This window comes from Homo sapiens, chromosome 1 (genome assembly GCF_000001405.40).
Source record: "Homo sapiens chromosome 1, GRCh38.p14 Primary Assembly".
In the NCBI taxonomy this organism is placed as follows: Eukaryota; Metazoa; Chordata; class Mammalia; order Primates; family Hominidae; genus Homo; species Homo sapiens.
The window spans coordinates 11,733,655-11,758,934 of record NC_000001.11 but is presented as its reverse complement, the minus strand read 5'-3'; the positions used below and the strand labels follow the sequence as shown (position 1 = coordinate 11,758,934).

The window sequence follows — 25,280 nt, the reverse complement described above, 5'->3', positions numbered from 1 at the left end:
AGTGGTGCAACCTTGGCTCACTGGAACCTCCACTGGAACCTCCACCTCCTGGGTTCAAGTGATTCTCCTGCCTCAGTCTCCCAAGTAGCTGCGATTACAGGTGTGCACCACCATACCCAGCTAATTTTTTTTATTTTTCATAGAGACGGGGTTTCACCATGTTGGCCAGGCTGGTCTTGAACTCCTGACCCCAGGTGATCCACCTGCCTTGGCCTCCCAAAGTGCTGAGATTACAGGCGTGAGCCACCGCACCTGGCCTGTTCTTTAGGTTTTGACTCTCTTTAATCTGTAGTAATATTTTTTGCCTTAAAGTCAAATTTGTGGGATATTAATTTAGCACCACCAGTTCCACTTTGGTCCCTATTTGCCTGGTATAACTTTTTCGTCCTTCTACCTTCAGCCTTCCCATGTCCATAATTTTAGGTTTGTCATTTGTAAACACAATATAGCTGGAATTTTAAAAAATCTGATCTGACAATGTATCTTGAGTTTAATTCTTTACAAATGTATGATTTTGACATATTTATTCTATCTTATTTTTGTGCTTGCTAGTAGCCAGAGTTTTCATATTTCTCCTTTCTTGCATTTTTTTTTTTCTTTTTTGGAGATGGAGTCTCGCTCTGTCGCCCAGGCTGGAGTGCAGTGGCGCCATCTTGGCGCAAGCTCCGCCTCCCGGGTTCACGTCATTCTCCCACCTCAGCCTCCCGAGTAGCTGGGACTACAGGCGCCCGCCACCACACCCGGCTAATTTTTTTTGTATTTTTTAGTAGAGACGGGGTTTCACCGTGTTAGCCAGGATGGTCTCGATCTCCTGACCTCGTGATCCACCTGTCTCGGCCTCCCAAAGTCCTGGGATTACAGGCGTGAGCCACTGCACCTGGCCTCCTTTCTTGCATTTTTAAGAATTGATCAAGGTTTTCTTTTTCTTCAGGTCCCCCCTGCTCCTCACTGGCTTGGAAACTGCACATTTCATATCTATTCTTTCTGTGGTTATCCTACACACACACACACACACACACACACACACACACACACACACACGTATATTTAGAGACAGAGTCTTGCTCTATCCCCCAGGCTGGAGTGCAGTGGTGCGATCTTGGCTCACCGAAACTTCTGCCTCCTGGGTTCAAGCAATTCTCATGCCTCAGCCTCCCTAGTAGCTGGGATTACAGACACCTGCCACCATGCGTCTGTACATAATTTTTGTACTTTTAGTAGAAACCGGGCTTTGCCATGTTGGCCAGTCTGGTCTTGAACTCCTGACCTCAGGAGATCTGCCCACTTCGGTCTCCGAAAGTGCTGGGATTACAGGTGTGAGCCACTGTGCCTGGCTCCAAGATATTTTAATATGTATATTTAACAAAAACTAAAGTTAATTGCCAATATTTAATCTCCTTTTAGGTCAAAATTACTATTTCCTTTGTGCATCTCAGATCTTCCTTCTGAGAAAAATTCCATGTGCCATCAAAAGATTCTTCAGATGTTTCTATATCAAAGATCTATGGGTGATAAACTCAACTGTATTTTTCTCAGTATCTTTATTTTACCCTCATCCCTGAAGGATGACCACAGGTGCATAATTTTAGGTTGACAGTTATTTTTCTCACCACTTTGAAGGTATCATTCCACTGTCTTCCGACTTCTATTGTTGCTGTTGAGACATCAGCTGCCAGTAATTGTCAATCTTTTTGAGACAATACCTTTTCTATCTGGCTGCTTTTGGGAGCTTAATTTTTGTCTTTGGTGTTCTGTAGTTTTCATTCATTCATTCATTCTACAACTTTTACAAAGCATTAACTGGGTGCCATGGGTGCCAGCATTGTTCTAGGTGTTGAAGGTATAGAAGTGAATGAACCATGTTCTGTTAGAATGACTGTCATCCAGGCTGGCTGGGTTGCAGTGGTGCCATCACAGCTCACTGCAGTCTCGAACTCCCTGGGCTCAGGTGATCCTCCCACCTCAGCCTCCTGAGTAGCTGGGCCTACAGGCACTACTCCCGGCTAATTTTTGTGTCTTTTGTATTGATGGGGTTTCGGCATGTTGCCCAGGCTGGTCTCCAACTCCTGGGCTCAAGTGATCTACCCACCTTGGCCTCCCAAAGTGCTGGGATTACAGGTGTGAGCCACTGCGCCCGACCTCTTTTTATTTATCCCGTTTGGGAATTGTTTAGCTTCTTGAACCTGAGCTTTGCTGTCTTTCCATTTTGGAAAATATTCTGACATGATTTCTTTGAATGTTGCTTCTCTCTCATCATCTCCTTCAGGAACTCTGGCTATATTTATATTGCTCCTTCTCACTCTATCCTTTGTGTCTTCTTTTTTTCCCCCCCGAGATGGAATCTTGCTCTATCACCCAGGCTGGAGTGCAGTGGTGTGATCTCAGCTCACTGCAACCTCCACCTCCCGGGTTCAAGCAATTCTTCTGCCTCAGCCTCCCGAGTAGCTGGGATTACAGGCATCTGCCACCATGCCCAGCTAATTTCTGTATTTTTAGTAGAGACGGGGTTTCACCATTTTGGCCAGGCTGGTCTCGAACTTCTAACCTCGTGATCTGCTCACCTGGGCCTCCCAAAGTGCTGGGATTACAGGCATGAGCCACCATGCCCAACCTGTGTCTTAACTTCTTTTTTGTATTTTCTGTCTCTTTCTACTGCATTCTGGGTGATTTCTTCAAATCTATCTCCCAGGCTACCATTTCTCTCTTCAGATAAATCTATTCTATGAATTAACCTAGGCATTGAGTTTCTGATTTCAATCATGTGTTTTTCATTTATACTTCTGTTTCATTCTTTTAAAACTCCACTGGCAATCCTGATCTCTGCATTGCCACATTCCAGCTCTGAAATCAAGTCTCCGTGTGCCCTTGTCCAAGGCTGTCCCTTCTGGGCCTGTGTCTAGGAGATTTAGGAACTAGGAGATCAGCTTTCACGTTGTGCTCTGGGGATCCCTGGGTTCCCTGGTACTGATGAGAGGGTACTTGATCAGACCTGCTGCCTCTTATATATTGAATATTTCTTTTAAACAAGGGATTTGAAATAATTTTTTTTTGAGACAGTCTCACTCTGTCGCCCAGGCTGGAGTGCAGTGACGCAGTCTCAGCTCACTGCAACCTCTGCCTCTCATGTTCAAGTGATTCTCCCACCTCAGCCTCCCAAGTAGCTAGGACCACAGGCACGAGCCACCACGCCTGGCTAGTCTTTGTACTTTTAGTAAAGACGTGGTTTCGCCATGTTGACCAGGCTGTTCTCGAACTCCTGACCCCAGGTGATCCTCCCAACTCAGCCTCCCAAAGTGCTGGGATTACAGGCATGAGCCACTGCGCCTGGCCTTGAAATAAAATATTTTTAAAACCACTGGGCTAGGGGAGGTCTAAGTTTCCTTCAAGTTCAAATTTGTGATACTGAATTTTCATCTCAGATATGACAATGTTTTATGACAACCTGTTGACTCTGTAGTTTCTGACTTAGACGTGTGAACAAAAGCACCTGACCACCTGGAGAACTGGGTCCTGAGTTCTGTTGCTAGTGAGGAAAATCTGTTTTACTTCCTGAAAAATTTTCCAATCTTTTGAAAACTTGTAGAAAGCACTCAAGAAATGTTCATAGCATTGAGTCAAAGAGATGAATTGACTTGCCCGAGATCACACAGCTCAAAGCTGATGATGCTGGGATCCATGCCTAGGCAGCCCAGCCCAAAGCCAGGCTCCAGGCCACTGTGCCATGGCCTTCCCCATAGAAGCTGATCAGAGGGACACCAGCCCCAGGCCCACGCACTCCTCTCCATCTCCCCTCCCAGGCACAAGGGCACGACATTACTGTATCCAGACAGCCTCGGAGGCTGGGGCTGGGTCCAAGGCAGGGCCGTAGGGCCCCAAGTACCCCACACTCCTAACACCCATCCTCTCCTCTGTACATTCATCCTGGGACCCTGAACAAGTCCCAGGGGCTGCAGGCCTCAGCTTCCTTGTCTGTCCAATGGGAGAAACATTCTGGTGCCCCTCACCTGGGGACAGGTCTGGCAGCAATGAGGTCAGCCAGGGTGGGAGGCCCCAGGTCACTCCTGCCCTCGACCGGCTGGTACCAGTCACAGGCCACCTGGACTCCTTCCCTCTCTAAATGATTACACAGTCGTACAGATAATGAGATCTAACATTTATTAAACACTGATGTTGCACCATTTTCAGTCCTCACTAATACCCGAGTCAGGCACTATTATTGTCCCCATTTTCAGATGAGGAAGCTGAGGCACAGTGAGGTTAAGAGATAGTGTCTCTTAACACAGCCAGTTACAGAGTGCATAGGGGATTTAAACCAAGGCTCACTGACTCCAGAGCCCGTTTAGAGACACAGTGTGAGAGTTGGCATTTCCAGGCCATTCCGGAGACTCTGAGAACCGGCCTGAGGTGGGGCCCTGTAGGTACTGCAGCTCTGGTCCAGTTCTGGCCAACAGGAGAAGGCAGTGACCTCCTGTGGGGCAATTTCTCTGGCTTCCTCATGTGGAAGGCTCAGCTTTGTGAAAACAAGAAATAGATTTGCAAACTGGACAAGTGTGACTTCAGTCCTGATATGGTTTGGCTGTGTCCCCACCCAAAGCTCACCTTGAATTGTAATAATCCCCATGTGTCAAGACCGGGGCCAGGTAGAGATACTCGAATCATGGGGATGGTTCCCCATACTGTTCTGGTGATGGTGAATAAGTCTCATGAGATCTGATGGCTTTATAAATGGGAGTTCCTCTGCAAGGGCTCTATCTCTTGCCTGCCTCCATGTAAGACGTGATTTTGCCCCTCATTCACCTTCCACCATAATGGTGAGGCCTTCCCAGCCATGTGGAACTTTGAGTCCATTAAACCTCTTTCCTTTATAAATTACCCCGTCTTGTATGTCTTTATCAGCAGCATGAGAACAGACTGATACAAGCCCTCTCCAGCAGGAGACCAGAGGCAAGAGGAATTTGCTTCCTGTGGTTGACAGCCTCAAGAATGTCAGACACTATATAAACCTGCAGGGTGCCCTACTTCCAAGTCCCTACAGACATGGGCCTTTTAAAAGTTGCACAGTGGTGAGAATGTCCAGTTGGAAAGCCTCGTTAGCACAGTGCAGCCCGTCCATGGCTGAAGTCCTGGGCTTATCCTGGACCTGCCCTCATCCTGGACCTGCCCTCCCACGTCCTCCCTCCTGGCTAGCGGCAGCTCCAGCCTTCCAGTCAGGCCCACACCTCACAGTCCCGGGCTTGTCTCTGCATCCTCTATCCAGCCCATCACAGGTCCTGCTGCTTTGCCTTCAGAGAGTGTCCAAGAGTTGACCACTTGTCACCACCCCCACCACTGCCCCCATCCAAGCCACCAACATGGTCCTTTTAGAATGCAAGCCAGGTGCAGTGGCTTATGCCTGTAATCCCAGCACTTTGGGAAGCCAAGGTGGGCAGATCACTTGAGGCTAGGAGTCCAAGAGCAGCCTGGCCAACATGGTGAACCCCATCTCTACTAAAAATACAAAAATTAGCTGGGCATGTTGGTAGGCACCTGTTATCCCAGCTATTTGGAAGGCTGAGGCAGGAGAATCGCTTGAACCCAGCTGCAGTGAGCCAAGATTGCACCATTGCACGCCAGCCTGGGCAACAAGAGCGAAACTCTGTCTCAAAACAAAACAAAACAAAACAAAACGCCAGGCGCAGTGGCTCACGCCTGTAATCCCAGCACTTTGGGAGGCCGAGGCAGGTGGATCACAAGGTCAGGAGATCAAGACCATCCTGACCAACATGGAGAAACCCCATCTCTACTAAAAATACAAAATTAGCTGGGCGTGGTGGCGCATGCCTGTAATCCCAGCTACTCAGGAAGCTGAGGCAGGAGAATTGTTTGAACCTGGGAGGCAGAGGTTGTGGTGAGCTGAGATCGCGTCACTGCACTCCAGCCTGGGCGACAGAGGGAGACTCCGTCTCAAAAAAAAAAAGAATATAAGGCAGACCTTGCCCGGCTCTGACCAACACCCTCCAGGGGCTCCCATCTCATTCAGCCAGAACTGGAGTCCTCAGAATGACTTGCTAAGCCTGCACATCTGACCCCAGCCACCTTCTGACCTCATTGTCTTCTTCTCTCCCTCCCCCACCCTCTCTGCTCAGCCACTCTCTGCCTCAGGCCTTGTTAGCTGTCACCAAGAACCTCTCATGCTAAATGGAATGCCCCTGGGTGACTTTTCCCGCACCCTGGCATCCCCTGCCTCTGGAACACGGCCTCACTCACAGTGGGCTCTGGGGCGCTTGTTGTATGTTAGAAGCTCTCCCTGTTAAGGCCGCTGTGTGGAAGGGGCAGCCACATGGTTGCCTCCTCCACCGTTTCTGTCTGCCTCTGATGGCCCTCCGGCTCCCGACTGCCTGCACAGTCGGGGGGTGGCACAGTGCCTGCAAATCTAAGCCACCCTCTCCCACTCCCTGAGCAGCTCCTAGCCAATGACTGGAAAGCCTGGCACCCTTGCTTTCATCGCAGGCTCTGCTTCTGGGGTACACTCTGAGACAGGAGCTTTCCTCTGTCCTCTCCCGCAAAGAGCCGGTTCAACCTGGGGGTCTGGGACGATGAGGGACTGAGGTGTCTAGATACACTCCCCTGTGCGTGGCCCAGGCTGCATCATCTGCCCCCACTGCCTGGGCCAAGCCCCTGCCCTGGCTTTTCATTCCCTTTGGGAATCTGACACGTTCACGACGCAGGTACACAAGCCTTCCCGGGGCCAGGATGCTGTATACACAAGATAAACGGACTTGGGTCTTAGTCCCATTCCCCTCGGGTCACGCTCCTCCTCCACCCAGGGTGGCTACAGTCATGAACCTGACAGGTGTCCTTCTAGTCCATGCTTTTCTATTTTACCGCACATACACCCAGGAACAACATATGGCATTGCTGTGAGGTCTGAAAATTCATCCCAATGCCATTCTGCAATCTGCTTTGTTCACATTTGCGGGGGGCCAACGTTGGTGGAAATAGGTCTGGTTTAACAGCTGTAACTGCTGCACTGTGCTCCATACGATGAATGGACCGTGGCTTACTGGTCCGTACTCCCTATAATGAATGGACCGTGGCTTACTGGTCCATACTCCCTACAATGAATGGACTGTGGCTTCCTGGTCCATACTCCCTACAATGAATAGACTGTGGCTTCCTGGTCCATACTCCCTACAATGAATAGACTGTGGCTTCCTGGTCCATACTCCCTGTAATGAATGGACCGTGGCTTACTGGTCCGTCTCCCGACAGTGAGGCTGTTTCCAGTTTCTCACAACTGCAGCTGCTCAGCAGCCCTCTGCCCGGAGCACAGCCCCTTCCCCACAGCAGCCTTCCTCCCTGACCCAGAGGCCCATGTCCTCTTCTTTCGGGGCTCTTGCCTCTGTCTGTAATCCTCCAGGTGGGAAGACTCCTAGGTTGAGAGCAGGCTCCCAAGGTCACCACTGCAGCCCCAAGCCCGCTCGGCACCAGGCAGGTACTGAGCCTCTTTTGATTGACAGATGGACGCAAGAGAATAATGGGAGTTGTGCACTAGGCCTTGACCCTGTGCCAGGGACAAGCCAGGATGGCCTGGGAAAGCCCTGGCACTTGGTGCCCAGGGGGCAGAAGAGCAAGCTGTGAATAGCTAGACCTGTCCGTGGGGTGGGCCGAGGCCCTGGGGAACTTCTGGACGTGTCAGCCCAAGTCAGCTGTGACCAGACACAGGGGCTACCAGGAAGAGGTCGCCCCTGCCTCCTAACCTAGCATCGTCACTGGCCTGAGGAGCAGGTCCACTGCTAACAAGTTCACCATCACTTAGGGAGCCCTCCTCACGCCAGGCACTTCACACCTGGAGCAGGCACCAACCCTTTCTAGAAGACACTGAAGGCATGCAGCTAGTAAGTGGCAGAGCAGGATTCCAAAGAGTGCCTGGGTCATCTGGTTCAGAGAAACGGATGCCCACGCACCACACCCACCAGTGTCTCTCTCTCCTGTGGCCTCTGCTAGGCCAGAGCCAGGCTCAAGCCCAGCTCAGCCAACGCACATGCCTGTTTCCTCCTGCCATGACAGAATGGGGCAGCACAGCACAGGCTCCACCTGGGAACTGGCAGGAGACATCTTCCCAGGAACAAGGCCAGGCCCCAGCCCAGCCAGGAGATTGAAGGTGGTTCAAAACACAGCCCATCTACAGAATTCCCCAAACTTTAATGCTGTGCTCTGAAAAGGGAGGCTGGAGGTTGTGGTGGGACACAGTGTTGCTGACACCTCTGGCCTCCAGCCCTGCATCCCTAGGCACCATGTGACCAGGCAGTGAGAAGGACGGGGCCTCACTCCCATGCCAGACTGCTCCTCGGGCTGAGCAGGACCTGAAGCTCTCAGGGCTTCCACCAAAGCCCAGCAAACTTGGGGGAGGCCTGAGGGGGCATCAGCAGTCCTTAAAGGCCTGAGCTTGCAACACTCAGGCAGGACTCGGCTGAGGGCCTCTGTGGTGCCACCATGGGGTAGGAGGTAAAGAGAGACCCTGGTTCCAGCCTGGGAACCAGTGGGTGCCCTGAAGGGAGGGGAGGCCTCAGGGAGTTCGGGACAGGAGTGTGCATGGTACTGGGCGGCCCATGGGGGCTCCTGGCCTCTTGGTTCAGGCAATCCCTGAGCTGGGGACACATTCCATCTTAGGTCCAAGAGACGGAGGTCAGGAGCATCCCTAGAACGACCTCCCAGGCACGAGGAAGGCCCGGGGCAGGGCCGGGCGCAGCGTGGCTGGCTTCAGTACCCTCGGGCATCTTGACTCCTGCCCTCTGGGACTGCAAAGGGATCTGCGGGCGCCTCTGCTGAGTCAATCGTCTGGTAGGCACTACGGTCCTGAGAAGACCCAAGGAAACCTAGGTGACAGGGGACATGGTGGGAAAGAAAAATGAAGGGTGAGAACTCGGGATGTTCAGCTGAGTCCAACCCAAGATCCACCCCCGCCACCCTCGGGCTGGGCATCCTGACACCATGCACAGAGACAGAGGCAGCAGCCCCAGGCCCTAAACCTTTAGCGTGTATTATTCATTCAATCCTGCCGTATCCCTGTGCGACGGGTATTTTTATTGTCCCCACTTTACAGATGAGGAGACTGTGGGTCAAAGGGATGAAGTGACTTGCCCGAGATCACACAGCTCAAAGCTGATGATGCTGGGACCCACGCCTAGGCAGCCGAGTCCAAAGCCAGGCTCCTGGCCCCTGTGCCATGGGCTTCCCCAGGCAGCACGTGCTTAGGAACCTGGGCAGAGGGACATCAGCCCCGGGCCCACGCACTCCTCTCCAGCTCCCCTCCCAGGTACAAGGACACCACATTACCATATCCAGATGGCCTCGGAGGCTGGGGCTGGGTCCAAGGCAGGGCCGTAGGGCTCCGAGTACGCCACATGCCTCACTCCCATCCCCTACTCTGTACATTCATCCCGGGACCCTGAACAAGTCCCAAAGGATGTGGGCCTCAGTTTCCTCATCTGTCCAATGGGAGAAACATTCTGGCACCCCTCACCTGGGGGCAGGCCCAGGCAGTGCTGAGGTCAGCCACTGTGGGCAGCCCCAGGCCATTCCCACCCTCAACCAGCTGGTGGCAGTCACAGGCCACGTGGGGCATCTCATCTCAGGAGTGAAAGGCAGAAGGCCACACCCTACCACCTCCCTCCACTCCTCTCAAAGAGAGAGAGAAAGGAAGAGAGAGAGAGGTGTCAGAGAGCAGGCAAATGGCTCGGCCACCAGGAGAAGGAGTACAGGAGTTCAGAGAGGGCGTGGGAGAGGGCAGGTGTAAGGCTGGGTGAGTGGGGAGGGGCCGGTGGGCAGGGAAAGTGCCCCCTGTTCAGGGCTGTCTTCACTGAGGCTCCCACAGCCTACACTGGCACGGGCTCTGCCCTGGCCACCTAGCAGTCTCTGCAGCAGGAGAGGGAAGACCCCATGTGGCAGGAAATGGGGTTCCAGTGATGGGCCCCGGTGAGAACAGAGAGGAGACCTGTAGGTGCCCGTGGCCCTCAGGATGGAGACAGCCCAGGGCTGCCCCTGGGAACTAAATGGTACCCCCAGCTGTGCCTGTGTTCTGGGCTGAGAGAAGGGCCCAGCCTCAGCTTCACAGCAGAAGAAGGTCACGGCAGACCAGGACAACCAGGGGACCCCTGGGCTCCTGCAGCAGAGACTAGGAGCTTGGACCTGTCCAGCCTAGTACAGAGCGCCCATGCCACGCTCTCCCTGCACCTTGAGCCCTGGCCCCATGGGGCAAGGCTGGCTCACTGAGGGAGAGGCTGGAGGCCAGGCAAGGGAGAGAAGGGAGCGGTGAGGAGCTGGCTGGAGGTGGTGGCCTCACCAGTGTGGACCAGGAGCTCACCCCCGCGCTCCCGGTACATGTGGTAGACGAAGCAGCAGGAGAGCGGCTTGAGCAGCAAGCTGAGGATGGCCATGCCCACGCCAAAGCGGCCCGTGTCCGTGAGGCTGACCCGCGGGTAGAAGATGCTGATGTGCACGATGTCCAGGAAGATGGTGGCCAGCAAGCCACCCAGAAACTGCAAGACACACCACACTGATGAGCACAACACCCCCACCACGCTCCGTGGCTCCCCCGCCACACACCGGATGGGAAGCCGTTTCATGCCCTGCTGTGTCCTTGGGGCTTGCGGGAAAATGGATCAAGCAAGCAGGCAGGGCCCCGCTGGGGAGCCGCTGGCTGAGACTGCAGTCTGGGGGCAGGGATGCCGGGGGCCCAGGTCTCGGTTCCACCAGAGCCTCCCTCCCCACCCATTTCCCGTCATCTCCAAGGCCATGATGGGCACAAGACTTGGCTCTAGAACCTCCATAGAGGAAGGTTCCTTGGAGTTCACCCAGTCCTTCTCCAACACAAAGAAAATCTCTTCTCAGTCATCCTGAGGCCCTGGCCTCGGCTTGAAGAGCCCGTGCGGGAGTGCTCACTGCCCCACGGGGCTCCGTGGGTGCTGAGAAGCTCCCCCTGTGGGAGGTTTCGGTGGGGCAGGGTCACCTCTACTTCCTAAAGTAGTGAAATGCCCTCTTGGCCGGGTCTCCCAGCCATATCCCCTCCCCTAAAAGAGAGCCGCAGAGGGAGGTTACAGGGGATGTTCCACTGCTCTTGCGAAGTGGCTAATCCGAGGCACTGGTGGGACCCACCCCATGGCTTTCCTCAGGGAGATAATGGCAGACTTGGGGTTCTCTAAGCCAGACAAGAAGAGCAGCAGGCTGGGCTCCTGAACACAGGCATGGGCCGGAGCCCAGGAGGCTGATGAACAGGCTTTAGACAATGGGAAGTGGTGGCCCAAGGAAGAGGGGGAAGATTGGGATGGGACGGGGTAGCAGAGCCAGGCTATGTCTTGCCCTGTGCTGCGGCTCCCCGCCTTGCCGCCTCTCCCCCACCCTGGCTCACCATGCTTATGGCGTCGATGGAGTCCCGCTGAGCCACAGCCCACACGCCCAAGGCCAGGATGGTGAAGTTGGCCCAGGCATAGGAGCCTGAGAATACAATGCAGCCCCTGTAGGAAGAGGTAGCTCAGTCCCGTCAGGAGGCCACCACCCCGCAGGTCACCTCCCTCCTGCTCCGGCGTCTCAGGGCCTCCTCCCAGAACATGCCATAGTCTTCGAGGCCACCCGGCTGTGTGCCAGCAAATCCCATGGGCTCCGCCTCCCACCCAGACCCTGGATCTGGCTGTGTCCCTGTAGATCCAAAGCACCTCCCTCTCCTGGCAGATGACAGCCGCAGCCACCCTGTGCCAGCGTCCTGACTGCCACTCTGTTCTCTAAACAGCAACCGGTAACGTAGTCAGATGCTGTCACTCCTCTGCTAAAAATCCTCCAACAGTTTTCTGTCCCATTTGGAATAAAATGCAGACTCTTCACCAGGGCCTAAGGGGCCTGTGGGATCCCGGACACAGCCTCGCCCTACTGACCTCCCAGCCACTGCCCTGTGCGGCGGGCGCCCTCTACCCTGACACCTGGCCCTCCTTTTGTCATTCACCCTGAGACTCGAATGTTCACCCTGAGACTCCTTCCCTTGCCCACCGGTGCTAAGTACAAGTTCGTCACTTTCCTAACACAAGGCCCGCCCTATTCTATTTTTAGGGTACTGATACTGACATTGTTGACTTACTTGTCAATCCAATCAAAATCATAGTGAACACCGATCACTTGCTAGTACCTAGCATGGTTCTGTTTTAAATTAACTCATTCATGTACATTTATGTTAATAACCATAGGAAGGAAGTATTATTGTTACCCTCACTTTAGAGATGAGGAAACTGAGACACAATGAGGTTAAGTAACTCGCCCAAGGTCACACAGTTGCTGAGCAGTGGGGCTGGGATTTGGAGTCTGGCTGGAGAGGCCATGCTCTTGCTCACCCTGCTGTGCTGCAAGGAAGACTCAGGGGGACAGGGACTGAGTCTACCTCATTTATTACCAAACCCACTGGGCCTTGCCTTCCCCTGCATGCAGCGGGCGCTTCCTAGATTTATAGGACATTCACTAAAGTGTAACATGCAGAAGACATGTGCAAGGCAGGTGTGGAGTGCCATTCGGTTCAATAGGTCTTTGAATAAACCATCTTATCTTTTGCTTTTAAGAAAGCAGGTGCCTGGGTCCCAGCCCAGAATCACCAACTCAGAATCTTGGGGAAGTGTGACTAAGAAATCTGTATTTTGGCCCTGCTTCTCAAGGTCGTGAATCATGATGGTTACAGTTCACATTACTCACAGCTGTTGCCCTGTGCGCTGCACTTCGAAGTTTGCAAAGTGCACAGGTGAGCTCAATGGTTTCCAGTCTTGGTTTGGCAGAGAAATGTCTCCAGAAGCTCAACAGATTAAAAGAGATGGTAAAGGTGAAAATCAAGCTGCAGTGCTGAGGCCTCACTGTGGGGCAGGCCCTGGGGAGCTCTGATGAGCACTTCCACGTCTCCCTCCCAGCTCCTGCAGGGTGTGCAATCCTTATGCCTATTGTACAGACGGAAATCAAGACCCGGAGAGGCAGAGCTGTCTGGCCCAAAGTGACCTGGTTAAAACACGGCAGAACCAGGACCTGACCCGGCTGACACAGACCCTGAGACCGCAGGAGACACACAAGATACCCACAGAGTCACTTACCAGGTTGTCAGCAGCCAGTGACCTAGGAGAATCACCTGTGGCACAACAAGGGGGAGAGAAGAGGTCTGTGAACATGACCACCACAGGGGCAGGAAAGCGTCGGGTGCAGAAAACACAGGACGCCCCTGCGCCTGGCACCTCTGAGGGCCTCAGTAATGTCTGTTGAAAAGGCACACCAGCAACTGCAGGTGGCCCAGGAGTGAAGGAGGAGGAAGAAAGCAGGCCAGGCCAGGGAGGGGCCGCTTCATGCCTTCACCCCTCCCATGGGGCAGCTGACACCCACACCCCTTCCAAGCGTCAGAGGCGTATGAACCAGAGCAATTCCATCTTGAATAGGAGCTGGGTAAAATAAGGCTGAAACCTAGTGGGCTGCATTCCCAGATGGTTAAGGCATTCTAAGTCACAGGATGAGACAGGAGGTCAGCACAAGGTACAGGTCATAAAGACCTTGCTGACAAAACGGGTTACAGTAAAGAAGCCGGCTAAAACCCACCCAAATCAAGATGGCCACGAGAGTAACCTCTGGTTGTCCTCACTGCTACACTCCCACCAGCACTATGACAGTTTACAAATGCCATGGCAACGTCAGAAAGTTACCCTATATTGTCTAAAAAGGGGAGGCATGAATAATCCACCCCTTGGTTAGCATACTATCAAGAAATAACTATAAAAATGGGCAACCAGCCTGGGCGCGGTGGATCACACCTGTAATCCCAGCATTTTGGGAGGCCGAGGTGGGTGGATCACCTGAGGTCAGGAGTTCAGGACCAGCCTGGCCAACATGGTGAAACCCTGTCTCTACTAAAAATACAAAAATTAGCCGGGCATGGTGGTGTGTGCCTGTAATCCCAGCTACTCAGGAGGCTGAGACAGGAGAATTGCTTGAACCTGGGAGGTGGAGGTTGCAGGGAGCCGAGATTGTGCCATTGCACTCCAGCCTGGGCGACGAGAGAAACTCCATCTCAAAAATAAGTAAATTAATTAATTAATTAATTTTTTTAAAAAGGGCAACCAGCAGCCCTCAGGGATGCTCTGCCTATGGAGTAGCCATTCTTTTATTCCTTTACTTTCTTAATAAACTTGCTTTCACTTTACTCTATGGACTCGCCCTGAATTCTTCCTTGTGCGAGATCCAAGAACCCTCTCTTGGGGTCTGGATTGGGACCCCTTTCCTGTAACACAAGGGTGGGAGGCTCCTTTGTGGAATGCAGGGAATCTGCTCTGAAATCAGAAGAGGCCTCGATGGGAAGCGGAGCGGTGGGGACTCACGTGAGGGTGATTTCTTGGGACACTGGAGCTGGCGCACTGTGGGGGGCAGAGGGGAAAGCAGCTGTTGTGGCTGGAGAGAGCGGGCAAAGGGAGGGTAGCTGGGGACAGGTAGGGGGGCCTGAGGGCCTCGGGAAGGAGCGTGGGCTTCATGCCAAGTGCAACGAGGGACACCACTGAGACTTTTCTACAGGGAGATAGCTTGGTATGCCTTATGGTAAGGAAAAACAACAACAAAATCCCCCTGGCTATTTTTCTGGATTTCTGCAATATTCTACTTTTTTCTTTTTAAATTTGGAGACAGGGTCTTGCTCTGTGGGTCAGGCTGGAGTTCAGTGGCGCCATCACAGCTCACTGCAGCCTCAAACTCCTGGGCTTAAGTGATCCTCCTGCTTCAGCCTCCCCAGTAGCTGGGACTACAGGTGTGTACCACCACGCCCAGCTAATTTTTGTTTTTTTGTAGAGACAAGGTCTCCCTATGTTAACCAGGCTAGTCTCAAATTCCTGGGCTCAAGCAATCTACCCACCTTGGTCTCCCAAAGTGCTGGGATTACAGGCAGGAGCCACTGCACCCAGCTACAATATTTTACCCTTTTTAATGTCCTCTGTGTCCTTAAAATGACAGCCTCCTCTCCTGGAACTGGTCTCTACTCCGGGACATCAACAAGGCCCTGACTGGAAAGCACATAGAAAAAGGGCAGATGGAGGCTGGGCACAGTGGCTCACGCCTGTAATCCCAGAACTTTGGGAGGCTGAGGTGGGCAGATCACCTGAGGTCGGGAGTTCGAGATCAGCCTGACCAGCATGGAGAAACCCCGTTTCTACTAAAAATACAAAATTAGCCGGGCATGGTGGCACATGCCTGTAATCCCAGCCACTCAGAAGGCTGAGGCAGGAGAATCGCTTGAACCCAGGAGGCAGAGGTTGCAGTGGGCCGAGATCGCGCCATTGTACTCCAGCCTGGACAACAAGAACAAACCTCCGCCTCAAAAAAAAAAAAAAGGAAAGAAAGAAAAAGGGCAGATGGGCTGGGCGCGGTGGCTCACCCCTGTAATCCCAGCACTGTGGGAGGCCAAGGCAGGTGGATCACTTGAGGTCAGGAGTTCGAGACCAGCCTGGCTAACATGGCGAAACCCTGTCTCTACTAAAAAGACAAAAATTAGCTGGGCATGGTGGTGGGCACCTGTAATCCCAGCTACTCCGGAAGTTGAGGCACGAAAATTACTTGAACCTGGGAGGCAGAGGTTGCAGTGAGCCCAAAATGGGCCACAGCACTCCAGCTTGGGTGACAGAGTGAGACTCCATCTCAAAAAAAAAAAAAGAAAAGAAAAGACAGATGCCTTGGGAGGGCAGGCAGCTGCAGAAAGAGCTTCCAAAGGGAAGGGACCCAGGCTGAGCACAATGTATGAGCGGGGCTCGGCCAGGCAAAGTGGGGCCAAGCCCCAGGCCCTGCATGGGTGGCGGTGGGCATGGAGATAACTGAGGTCGGGGTGGGGTGGCACAGAGACTTTGGGAGGCCAGGAGCCCCAAATTGGGAGCTTCAACGGGCCTGGTGGTCAATGAGGGCCCTAGAAGTTTACTCAAGGGATTGAGGGGTCAGGCTGGAAGGGAGAGATGCCACATGCCTGGGGCAGAGGCAGTGTCCTGGCGCAGACATGGGCAAGGTTTGCGAAGAAGGCCGGGGTTTCTGGCCTGGGTGGAAGGGCAGAAGGAGCCCTCACCACCTGCAAAAAAGAACTGTGGGCCAGGTCTGGTGGCTCACGCCTGTAATCCCAACACTTTAGGAGGTGGAGGGAGAAGACTGCTTGAGCCCAGGAGTTCGAGAACAACCTGGCTAACAAAGTAAGATCCTATCTCTACAAAAAATCAAAAAATTAGCCAGGTATGGTGGAGTACATCTATAGCCCCAGCTACCTGGGAGGCTGAGGTGGGAGAATCACTTGAGCCAGTGAGGTCAAGTGTACAGTGAGCCAAGATCATGCCACTGCACTACAGCCTGGGGGACAGAGCAAGATCCTGCCAGAAAGAGAAAGTAAGGAAAGAAAGAAAAGAAAGAAAGAGAGAAAGAGAAGGAAGAAAGAAAGAAAAAGAAAGAAAAGGAAGGAAAGAAGGAAGGAAGGAAGGAAGGAACGAAGGAAGGGAAAGAAGGGAAAGAAAGGACAGAAAAGAAAGACAGACAAACTCACTCTGGCAGCAGAGGAAAAAGCATTTCTAGAAGAGTTACTCTTGACCACACACCAACTATGTGCCAGGCCCTATGCCAACCGTCTCACATGACCTTATCTGGACCTCACAGCAGCCTCTGGTACTATTATTCCCATTTCACAGATGAGAAAACCAGACTCAGAGATAAATTATGTTGATCAAGACTCCACAGGTAGCAAGTGGCAAAACTGGAATTAAATTTCAAACTCGCCTCCAAAACCAGTGCACCCAACCTCCCCGCTGGGGGCGCAGGCCTTCAGCTGGGAACTGTTTGGGCTTGTGAGAAAGGTCCACACATGGGGGCAGATGGAATCCAGAGCTGGTGGCTGAGATACTTCACCTTTACCTCCAGGGCCCAGGGCCAGAGTGAACCACAAGGGGCCTGGCTCTGTGGCCCAAAAGAAATTCCTTTCTCAGCTCCAAGAGACTAGGAAAATAATTCTGTAAGGACCGATGCACCCAACTTTAAGATCTCGAGACTCTGACCAGGCTGAGTAGTGTGTTACAGAAGTCTAGCTCTAGAAGGAATCTTCGCCATCACCTCACCTACCTTCGTCTACTATTGAGCGCTTCCTATGTGCTAGGTGCCATTCTAAGTGCTTTCTGTATATAAATGCACTAAATCCTTACAATCCTCTGAGGTCTTATTATCCCCATTTTACAGCTGAGAAAACTGAGGCTCAGAAGGAAGTAACTTGCCCAAGGTCACAGAGCAGGCCAGTGGCAGAGCCAGGACTCAAACCCAGGCTGTGCTGTCCAGCCATTAGGCCTCTCCCCATTACAAAGATGGGGAAACTGAGGCAAGAGAGGTGTAGTCTTCCATGGATTTCAATCCCCAGGGGCTTGAAGTGATAAACGGTGTTAAGTTTCTTAAACATTTAGTGTCACCCAGCATCACTGGCACCTGCTTTTCATTCACCCTGGGGAGTCAGAGGTGTGCAGAGCAGATTCGGAGCTGCGCTCTCAGTACTGACCTCGCTAACCAGGTACTCTGCCCTAGGAATGGAGGTGCAGTGAACCCTCATCCCGAAGGAAAGCACCTGATTGAAGGAAAGCATCCTGAAGGAAAGCAAGGGAAAGGGCACCTGATTGAACAGCAGGGAGGCTGGGAGGGTTGGGGTGGTCAGGGGCTTCTCTGAGGAAGGGATGGGGGAGGCTGAGGGGGAAGAAGAGCATTTTGAGCAGGAGGGGCGGCACTCACAAAGGCTCTGTGGCAGAAGGGGGGCGTGGAACTTTCTGGAAACTGAACAGAAGCCAGTGTGGCTGGAGTGGAAGGTGAGGGGAGTGGAGGAGGGAGGGACAGGAAGTTGGGGGCAGGCAGGGCTGGGCATGAGGACGATTCTGATCTTTATCTTCAGAGCTAACCACTGTCCCCTCCATCTGATAGTAAACCCTGGACCACAGACAGGAAGGAACTTGCTCAGGGCCACACCGCAGAGTCAGCCACAGTGGTCCCAACATCCAGCTTTTAAAGAAGACACCGAGGAAAGAGACAGAGGGAAGGTAGCTCCCATCACCCCTTTCCTCCCCAAAATCGACACCTAACTCTTCCCACTCTGGGCTTGTTTTGGAAATGATCTTCATTTTCAATGCTCTCGCTCCTATGCCTAGACTGTACACAGAGTAGGTCTTTAATAAATGGGCCCTGCAGAGCCCTGGATTATTCCGGAAAGAATGGCAGTTAGCATGAAAGGCTGAGTCCCAGGGGGGCCTCTGATCCGCAGGATACCCTAAGGGTCATGCTTACAACCTATGAGGTAAAGGCTTTTCCTAGCGCTGGAAGGGCCTGTAATACAGAGTGAGCACCCAGCTGGGCCCACACCTCTGCCATCTCTGTTAGGGAAGAAAACAACGTAACCTGGAAATACTGCAGATCCTTAGCACACACACAGTCTCCTCTGCGTGACGTCACTTTGGTTTGATAAATATGAACAAAGTTAGCACCAGTTGCTCCTCTTAAGCCCCTGGGAAAAGAAACGTCCAGAAGCCTAAGCCTCCCCTGCCTCAGTTTCTTCATCTGTGTAACAGGAGGACACCCAGAGAGGCCTTAATGTGCAGGAAGACTCCAGGGAGAAACTGAGCCAAACGGGCCCTGCACTTCCTGGCAGCCCAGGGAAAGAGGGGCCAGTAACTGTCAGGACAAAACCACTGTCTTTTGGCCCTGGGGGAGCTTCCTGGTAGCCAAAGAGACACAGGATTCTCAGGTATGGCCTGAAAGAGGAGCTGGAAGCAGGGAAGGAACCTGAGCTAAACGGGTGGCAGGGCCAGGACCTTTCCCAGCTGGGCAGGAAGGACGGACCTGAGCCCCTGGACTCTCACTACAGTGCTCAGCCCAGGGGAGGCCGCCCAGCTCTTTCCCAGACAGGGGTCAATGGACCAAGGCAGCAGAGGGTCCCAGGATGCTATGCTGGAACAGGAAACCTGGGTGCTGGTCCAGGCGCCAAGGCCTCAGGCTCCTTTCTGCGAAACGGAGGCAGTACCCATTTGTCCCACGGGGGTGCCTCAACTGCCAGAGACAAGCATCTATCTGGACGGTCACTGTAAGTATCCGTTTACTAACTGTTAAATACCTATGTGGGGCAGGGATCCTGCATCATCAACGACAGCAGCAACTCCTGCTACTGACAAGCACCAGCCTGCCATGCATCTACACTGCACTGCCCCTAACTCATGTCATCCGTGTAACTGTATGGGGTAGAACTGAGGCTCTGAGAGATTAAGTAAATTGGCCCAATTCATAAAGCTTACAAACAACAGAGCCCAGACACAAATGTCAGAATCAATCTATCCAGCCAGAGTTTTTGTTTGTTTTTTTGAGACAGAGTCTTGCTCTGTCGCCCAGGCTGGAGTGCAGTGGTGCGATCTCGGCTCACTGCAACCTCTGCCTCCCGTGTTCAAGTGATCCTCGGTGCCTCAACCTCCTGAATAGCTGGGACTACAGGCGAGCACCACCACACCCAGCTAATTTTTGTATTTTTAGTAGAGGTGGGGTTACATCATGTTGGCCAGGCTGGTCTCGAACTCCTGACCTCAAATGATCCACCTGCCTGGGTCTCCCAAAGTGCTAGGATTACAGGTGTGAGCCACCACGCCTGGCCCAGCCTGAATTTGTAACCCTAATTCTAGACTACGTCCTGGACCATGGATCCATCATCCTAGGAGGTAGGGACTGTATTTAACTTCTTTTTACAATGAAGAAATAGATACTGAGAGAGTTCAGAAACCTACTCAAGGTCACACAGAAACCTACTCAAGACCTTGAATGCAGACCTGCCTGCCCCCAAAGCCTGTGCTCTGTCCACTGTGCTACACCGTCAGGATCTCGAAGAGCCGTAGAGGGCAGATGGAAATGAGGAAGTCTAACCTGGAGAAGGAAAGGCTGAAGAGAAACCAGCAGGGCATGCAGACCAAGACTTAAACCCTTTGTTTGCCACTAGAGGACCCATGGCGGGGTAGGACTTCCCAGAAATGGAATAAACTCCTACCAGTCCTGTGCAAACACTTGGTGGCCTGTTACACGTGCTAGTGAGATCCCCCAGGGTGGCCGGGGCCCAGGGACACCAGTCAGGGCTGCCAAGGATGGGAGGCAGAGTTGTGCAGCGGTTAACTTCGTGGGTACTGGAGGCAAACAGGTGGATCTGATCCTGGCTCCATGACTTTAGAACCTAGTGACCTTAGGCAAGTCACCTGACCTCTCAGAACAGCTGTTGGCTCTTCTGCAAAGAAGGGCAATACTGCCTGATTCAGTGTTGTTGTGTGGATCCAGTGGTACAGGGAGGTGGAGAGGTGTGGGAAGCGCTCCACACAGTGCCTGTGAGGAATTCAGCCCTCCATCCCAGCAGTCCTCATTACTGAGTTTTTAACCCAAATGCTACACGACTACCTCCTAGACCACCAGATCCTCCTCCCAAGGTCTTCTTCCCACAAGACCTCTGTACCCTAGTCCAGTCCTTTCTAAGCTCATCACAATGTCATTCTTGCAGCTCAGGACCTGGCTTCAAGAGACATGGACAGGGCTTGGTCAGGAGCTGCCCTTTGTGCAAAGGGCCTGGGGCAGTTGTTTCTTCTCACCTGGCACCACTGCCCACTCTGGCTGAGCTGGGCAGAAGCAGGCACTCAGCCCTTGCCCAAGGAATATACAAAACGAGGGAGTGGGGAGGGAGTGCAGGCCACAGGGAGCAGTTCCCCACCTCCTGAAGGGCTCTGAACTCAGAACATCCCCTAAGTGCCTATAAGCAAGGAGTCAACAGCTGCCCTCCACAGGGTGGCCAGATCCAGCAAACAAAAATACAGAACACCCAGTTAATTTCCAATATCAGATCATGAATAATTTGTTAATATGTCCCACATATTGCCTGAGACTTACTCATACTAAAAAACTGTTCGTTGTTGATCTGAAATTCAAATTCACCTGGATCTCCTGTACACGACCTGACAACCCTGACCCCTCAGGGCCTTCCAGCACTTTGTTGTCTCTGACTGGTAGCGGCTAACACCCTTGGAGACTGGGGTCTCGTTTGCCAAGTCAAGGGGAGGACCAGCCTTTTCATCCTGGGTACCGAAAGCCAGCATAGCTCATACCTGTGGATGCTCTTAGCCTGTCAGGCCCAAAAAGTTGCTCAAAAAAAGCCCCAAAGAGACTAAGCCCTCCCAAAGGACAGAAACAGCCAACGTTAAAGTCAGCCCTAAGCTGGTACCCCAGAAAGGACCTGGCCCTGGAGTCTGATCCCTATGGGTTCAAATCCTGATATTGCCACTTACTCCCCGTGGGACCTTGGCAATTTACCCAGTCTAAGCTGAAGTTTGCTCATCTGTAAAAAGATGACCATATCAGCTTTCTCATAAGGCTGCCTTGATTAAATAACCTGGCACACCACAGAAGCCCATAAATTAGAGCTCTGTCCCTCCCACTGCCCTCACCTGATCCTCTGTCAGCAATTATTTTAAGCAAATCCCTCATCAGAGAAAAGGCAGTTGGTGTTAACCCCACATTGCCTGGAATAGAGTGCATATTGATACCAACAAGCCTCGGCTGCTGTCACGTAAATTTCTTCCCAGCTGAACGTTCCATCCAAGCCCATTCCCTTGCTCCAGCCATGTCTCCCCACCACCTTTGACTGGAAGCTTCAGGAAGGTTTGCTGAAGCAAGTATGATTAAGAAGGGAAACATGCCTATAGCAAGTCATAGCACAGATGTTGTGTAATAATAAAGTGTATTAAGCCATTGTTTTGTAACCATCTATTTCTCAGGTTCCTTTAGTCCCAGACACCAACAGGGAGCTAAATGCTCTGTCATTCATGAGTAAGAGGACATTCCTGGATATTGCCTCAAAGGAGGCTGCACTAAGACCCAAAATGGCCGGTTTGGTCCAAGGTCCACACCTTCCTGACCAAAACTACAGCCCCTAGCCCCTCTAATGCAAATGGAGCCCAGACACGTGGGCGGCGGGGCTGGGCGGGGAGAAAAAGAACAGCCGCTGGCACCCAGACCCGGACTGAGCTCACGGCTCGGGAAATGAAGACACCACAGGAAGCCCTGCAGTGTTTTCCCCAGTGCACAAAGTTGGGGTTTTCTGCTTTTAAGTAATTTCTGTTGGAGTTCGCGCTTCTTGATTATGAAATAAGGGCGCTGGATGTGTAAACTTTATAAAACCAACTGCTTGGGAACATCTGATTTCCTTAACCCGACTTAGCAAACAAGGAGGCTCCTGAAACGGTGCTGGGACCCGGGGGGCAAGCCCAGTCCCTGACCCCGCGCGGGGGAGGTGAGCCGCCTACAAGCCCCTCCCGCGCACCTTCCTCCTCCTCCAGGGGAATTCTGGGCGTGCAGGCAACAGCAATGCTGGGACCGGCGCTGCCCGCTGGGAGGGTCTGAGTCCGGGAGGGGGCGGCCCTTGCCCTCCGCTGCCACCTCCCACGGCCCCTCAGTGTCGCCCTGCTGGCCTGTGCCTGGATCACTCTCCCTGCTGTGGCCTGCCTGCCCATCTCCTTCTTGCGTGGGGTCTGTACCTTCCCTTCCTCCCTACCATCCCTCTTTCCCCAAAACTCCGGTCCTTCCTCCCACCTTCCGGGAAAATGCAAATGTCCCACTTCCTCCCGCAAAGGGGACCCTCCCCCCAGCCCGTCGCCACCTTCAGGTTCACAGCAGGCAGCTCCATCCCGACTCAGGCCGAGGGCACCTGCGCCGCAGCCGCGGGGGGCTCCTAGGCTCCGAACTCGGGGAACAAACTTGCCCGGCCCCGCCCCGCCCCGCCCGTTGCGGCCACTCCAACCCCAGCGCAGCTCAAGACCACGTGAAACGGGCTGGAGCGGGTCACGTGACCGCCGCTTGGTTGCTAGGAGACGGCGTCGGCAGCTCGCGCCTTCAGCCAAGCTCCAGACTCCCGCCACCGCCCAGGCAGTACTTGGGGGCCGCTGGCGAAAGTTGGAGTTTCTGTCGCCCAGGGCGTATCCTGCCTGGCTAATATTCCAGGAAGCGGACTGTTCGGACTGCCTGCAGCCAGGACAACTGGGGGACCGTCCAGGCGCAAAGTGCTGATGTGGCAACAGCTTGTGTCTCATCCTTGGGGGCACCCTCTCTCCTTCCCACTTCCCTGTGTAAATGGGCTATTTAGGCTACCTACCTCATATGATCCTTATGAGGATTAAATGAGCTAACTGCTGTTGTTAAAGAAAACGTTATTGGGACTGTTGTTAAACCAGTACTGTTCAAGACTTGCTGTAGGGTTATTGCCATGGAGTGAGAGTTTGGGCTCAACACCGAATACAACAAGGACCAAGGAGGGATTTATAGCCAGAGCAGAATGAGGGAGCAGGAATGGAAGATTCCTAGGAGGAGACATCAAGGATGGGGGAGTTCTTGCTAACTTAGCAGGACTCTTGCTGAAACTGGTTTATTATGCAGGCTCAGGCCCAGCAAGGACAGGAAGACACAGAGGTCCAAGGCCGAGGCCTAGTCAAGATGAGGACTCAGAGGAGTCTAACTACGGTTTGTTCTAGGAGAGAACAGTGCCCGGCACTTAGTAAATGGGCAGGACACACAAGCTATTGTTATTACCAACACAAGATGAGGCTGGGCGCAGTGGCTCACCCCTGTTATCCCAGCACTTTGGGAGGCCAAGGAGGGTGGATCACCTGAACTCAGTAGTTCGAGACCAGCCTGGCCAACATGGTGAAACCCCGTCTCTACTAAAAATACCAAAATTAGCAGGGCATGGTGGTGTGCACCTGCAGTCCCAGCTACTCAGGAGGCTGAGGCACGAGAATTGCTTGAACCGGGGAGGCTGCAGTGAGCCGAGATCACGCCACTACACTCCAGCCTGGACGACAGGGTGAGACCTTGTCTGGGAAAAACAAACAAACAAAAAGCAACACCTGAGGAGCCAAATTGGTGGGAGCCCACTTTAATCAGCATACCAAAAGTTTTAGAAAACTCTAGCTGAAAAACCATAAGAAATTCCTCCCCCAATTGTACATGAGGAAAGAAAGGGCTGTCTCCTGCCTCACCTGGCACCTCCCTTAAAGATTGTTGACCACCACATCCCCCCACCGCAACAAGAACATTAATCCGCTCTACCTCCAGGTCCCTTCCTAACATCAACTTTCCTTTAGAGAACACCAGCTTTTGTTTAGTGTCACCTAGGTATGGAAACCTTCAGGGTACACCTGAGCACTTGGTCTTATTCCTAGGGTGGGGGAAACCAGGTGGGAACCTACAAAACTGCCTGGGTGAGTCCTTAGATAATACCAAGACCCATAGTCTCTCCAGATGCAAAGAAAGGGTTTCTCTGGATGGATGAGGAGAGTTTTGCAGGGCTGCAGGGCCCATAGGCCTAACTTAATGCCCTCTTAGGAGGCACAGATCCCCCCAGTCTAGGGGTAAATTAGAGACCAGCCAAATGGCTACATCCAGTTTGATTTAGGACTGGTTGCTATTATTATTATTAGTTCATTATTGGTAATTAATTATTGTTATTAGTAAAGTACTTAGAAGAGAGTAATTTCTCAGTAAGCAGTCAATATTAGAATATTATGTTATTATTATCTTTTTTTTTTTTGAGATGGAGTCTGGCTCTGTCACCCAGGCTGGAGTGCAGTGGCGCGATCTCAGCTCACTGCAACCTCCGTCTCCCGGGTTTAAGTGATTCTCCTGCCTCAGCCTCCTGAGTGGCTGAGACTACAGGTGGGTGCCAACATGCCCGGCTGATTTTTGTATTTTTAGTAGCGATAGGGTTTTGCCACGTTGGCCAGGCTGGTCTCAAACTCCTGACCTCAGGTGATCTGCCCGCCTCGGCCTCCCAAAGTGCTGGGATTTCAGGCGTGAGCCACAGTGCGCAGCCTGATCAATTTCCTTCTAAAAAATATTTCCCATACACTCCAGATTCTAGAGGGATTTAATCCAAGCCTTTAGGTATATAATAAAGTTGTGATCACTTTGTAAGGAGAAAATGAAAAACAGGCCGGGCACGGTGGCTCAAGCCTGTAATCCTAACACTTTGGGAGGCTGAGGCCGGTGGATCACTTGAGGTCAGGAGTTCGAGATCATTTTGGCCAACATGATGAAACCCCGTCTCTACTAAAAATACAAAAATTAGCCAGGCATGGGGGTGTGCACCTGTGGTCCCAGCTACTTGGGAGGCTGAGGCAGGAGAATTGCTTGAACCTGGGAGGTGGAGGTTGGAGTGAGCCGAGATCCTGCCACTGCACTCTAGC

At 52.7% G+C, this 25,280-nt stretch overlaps 1 protein-coding gene across 8 annotated transcripts, besides 2 other annotated features; it reads right to left on the bottom strand.

Moving 5' to 3' along the window:
* Nucleotides 1–8,165: 8,165 nt before the first annotated feature.
* On the bottom strand, nucleotides 8,166–22,799 carry AGTRAP (angiotensin II receptor associated protein). 8 transcript variants are annotated; one of them, XM_011541802.3, is made up of 7 exons: nucleotides 22,700–22,799; nucleotides 14,367–14,402; nucleotides 13,098–13,132; nucleotides 12,712–12,808; nucleotides 11,390–11,495; nucleotides 10,346–10,520; nucleotides 8,166–8,858 (listed from the first exon to the last, which is right to left on the bottom strand). In XM_011541802.3, exons 1-7 carry the CDS (start codon nucleotides 22,724–22,726, stop codon nucleotides 8,831–8,833), a joined length of 504 nt encoding a protein of 167 aa, XP_011540104.1. In that variant the 5' UTR covers nucleotides 22,727–22,799; the 3' UTR covers nucleotides 8,166–8,830. The 8 variants fall into 8 exon arrangements, with proteins under 8 accessions (XP_011540104.1, XP_011540102.1, XP_011540101.2 ...); XM_011541800.4 differs by lacking the exon at nucleotides 12,712–12,808 and having other exon boundaries at nucleotides 10,325–10,520; XM_011541799.4 differs by lacking the exon at nucleotides 12,712–12,808.
* Nucleotides 9,397–10,073: an enhancer, noted in NCBI's record as "H3K4me1 hESC enhancer chr1:11808919-11809595 (GRCh37/hg19 assembly coordinates)". NCBI's record gives its function as "activates a minimal SCP1, AML or CMV promoter by ChIP-STARR-seq in naive H9 embryonic stem cells {active_cell/tissue: H9 hESC(naive)}" and the evidence as "EXISTENCE:reporter gene assay evidence [ECO:0000049][PMID:30033119]".
* Nucleotides 10,074–10,750: an enhancer, noted in NCBI's record as "H3K4me1 hESC enhancer chr1:11808242-11808918 (GRCh37/hg19 assembly coordinates)". NCBI's record gives its function as "activates a minimal SCP1, AML or CMV promoter by ChIP-STARR-seq in primed H9 embryonic stem cells {active_cell/tissue: H9 hESC(primed)}" and the evidence as "EXISTENCE:reporter gene assay evidence [ECO:0000049][PMID:30033119]".
* Nucleotides 22,800–25,280: the final 2,481 nt, after the last annotated feature.

Coding starts and splice junctions, on each gene's coding strand:
- AGTRAP (XM_011541800.4), bottom strand. CDS start 22,726: ATGGAGCTGCCTGCTGTGAACCTGAAG. Junction 11,496..13,097: donor CACTGGCTGCTGACAACCTG/GTAAGTGACTCT, acceptor CTCTTCCTACAG/GGGCTGCATTGTATTCTCAG. Junction 10,521..11,389: donor CCATCGACGCCATAAGCATG/GTGAGCCAGGGT, acceptor TGTGTCTTGCAG/TTTCTGGGTGGCTTGCTGGC.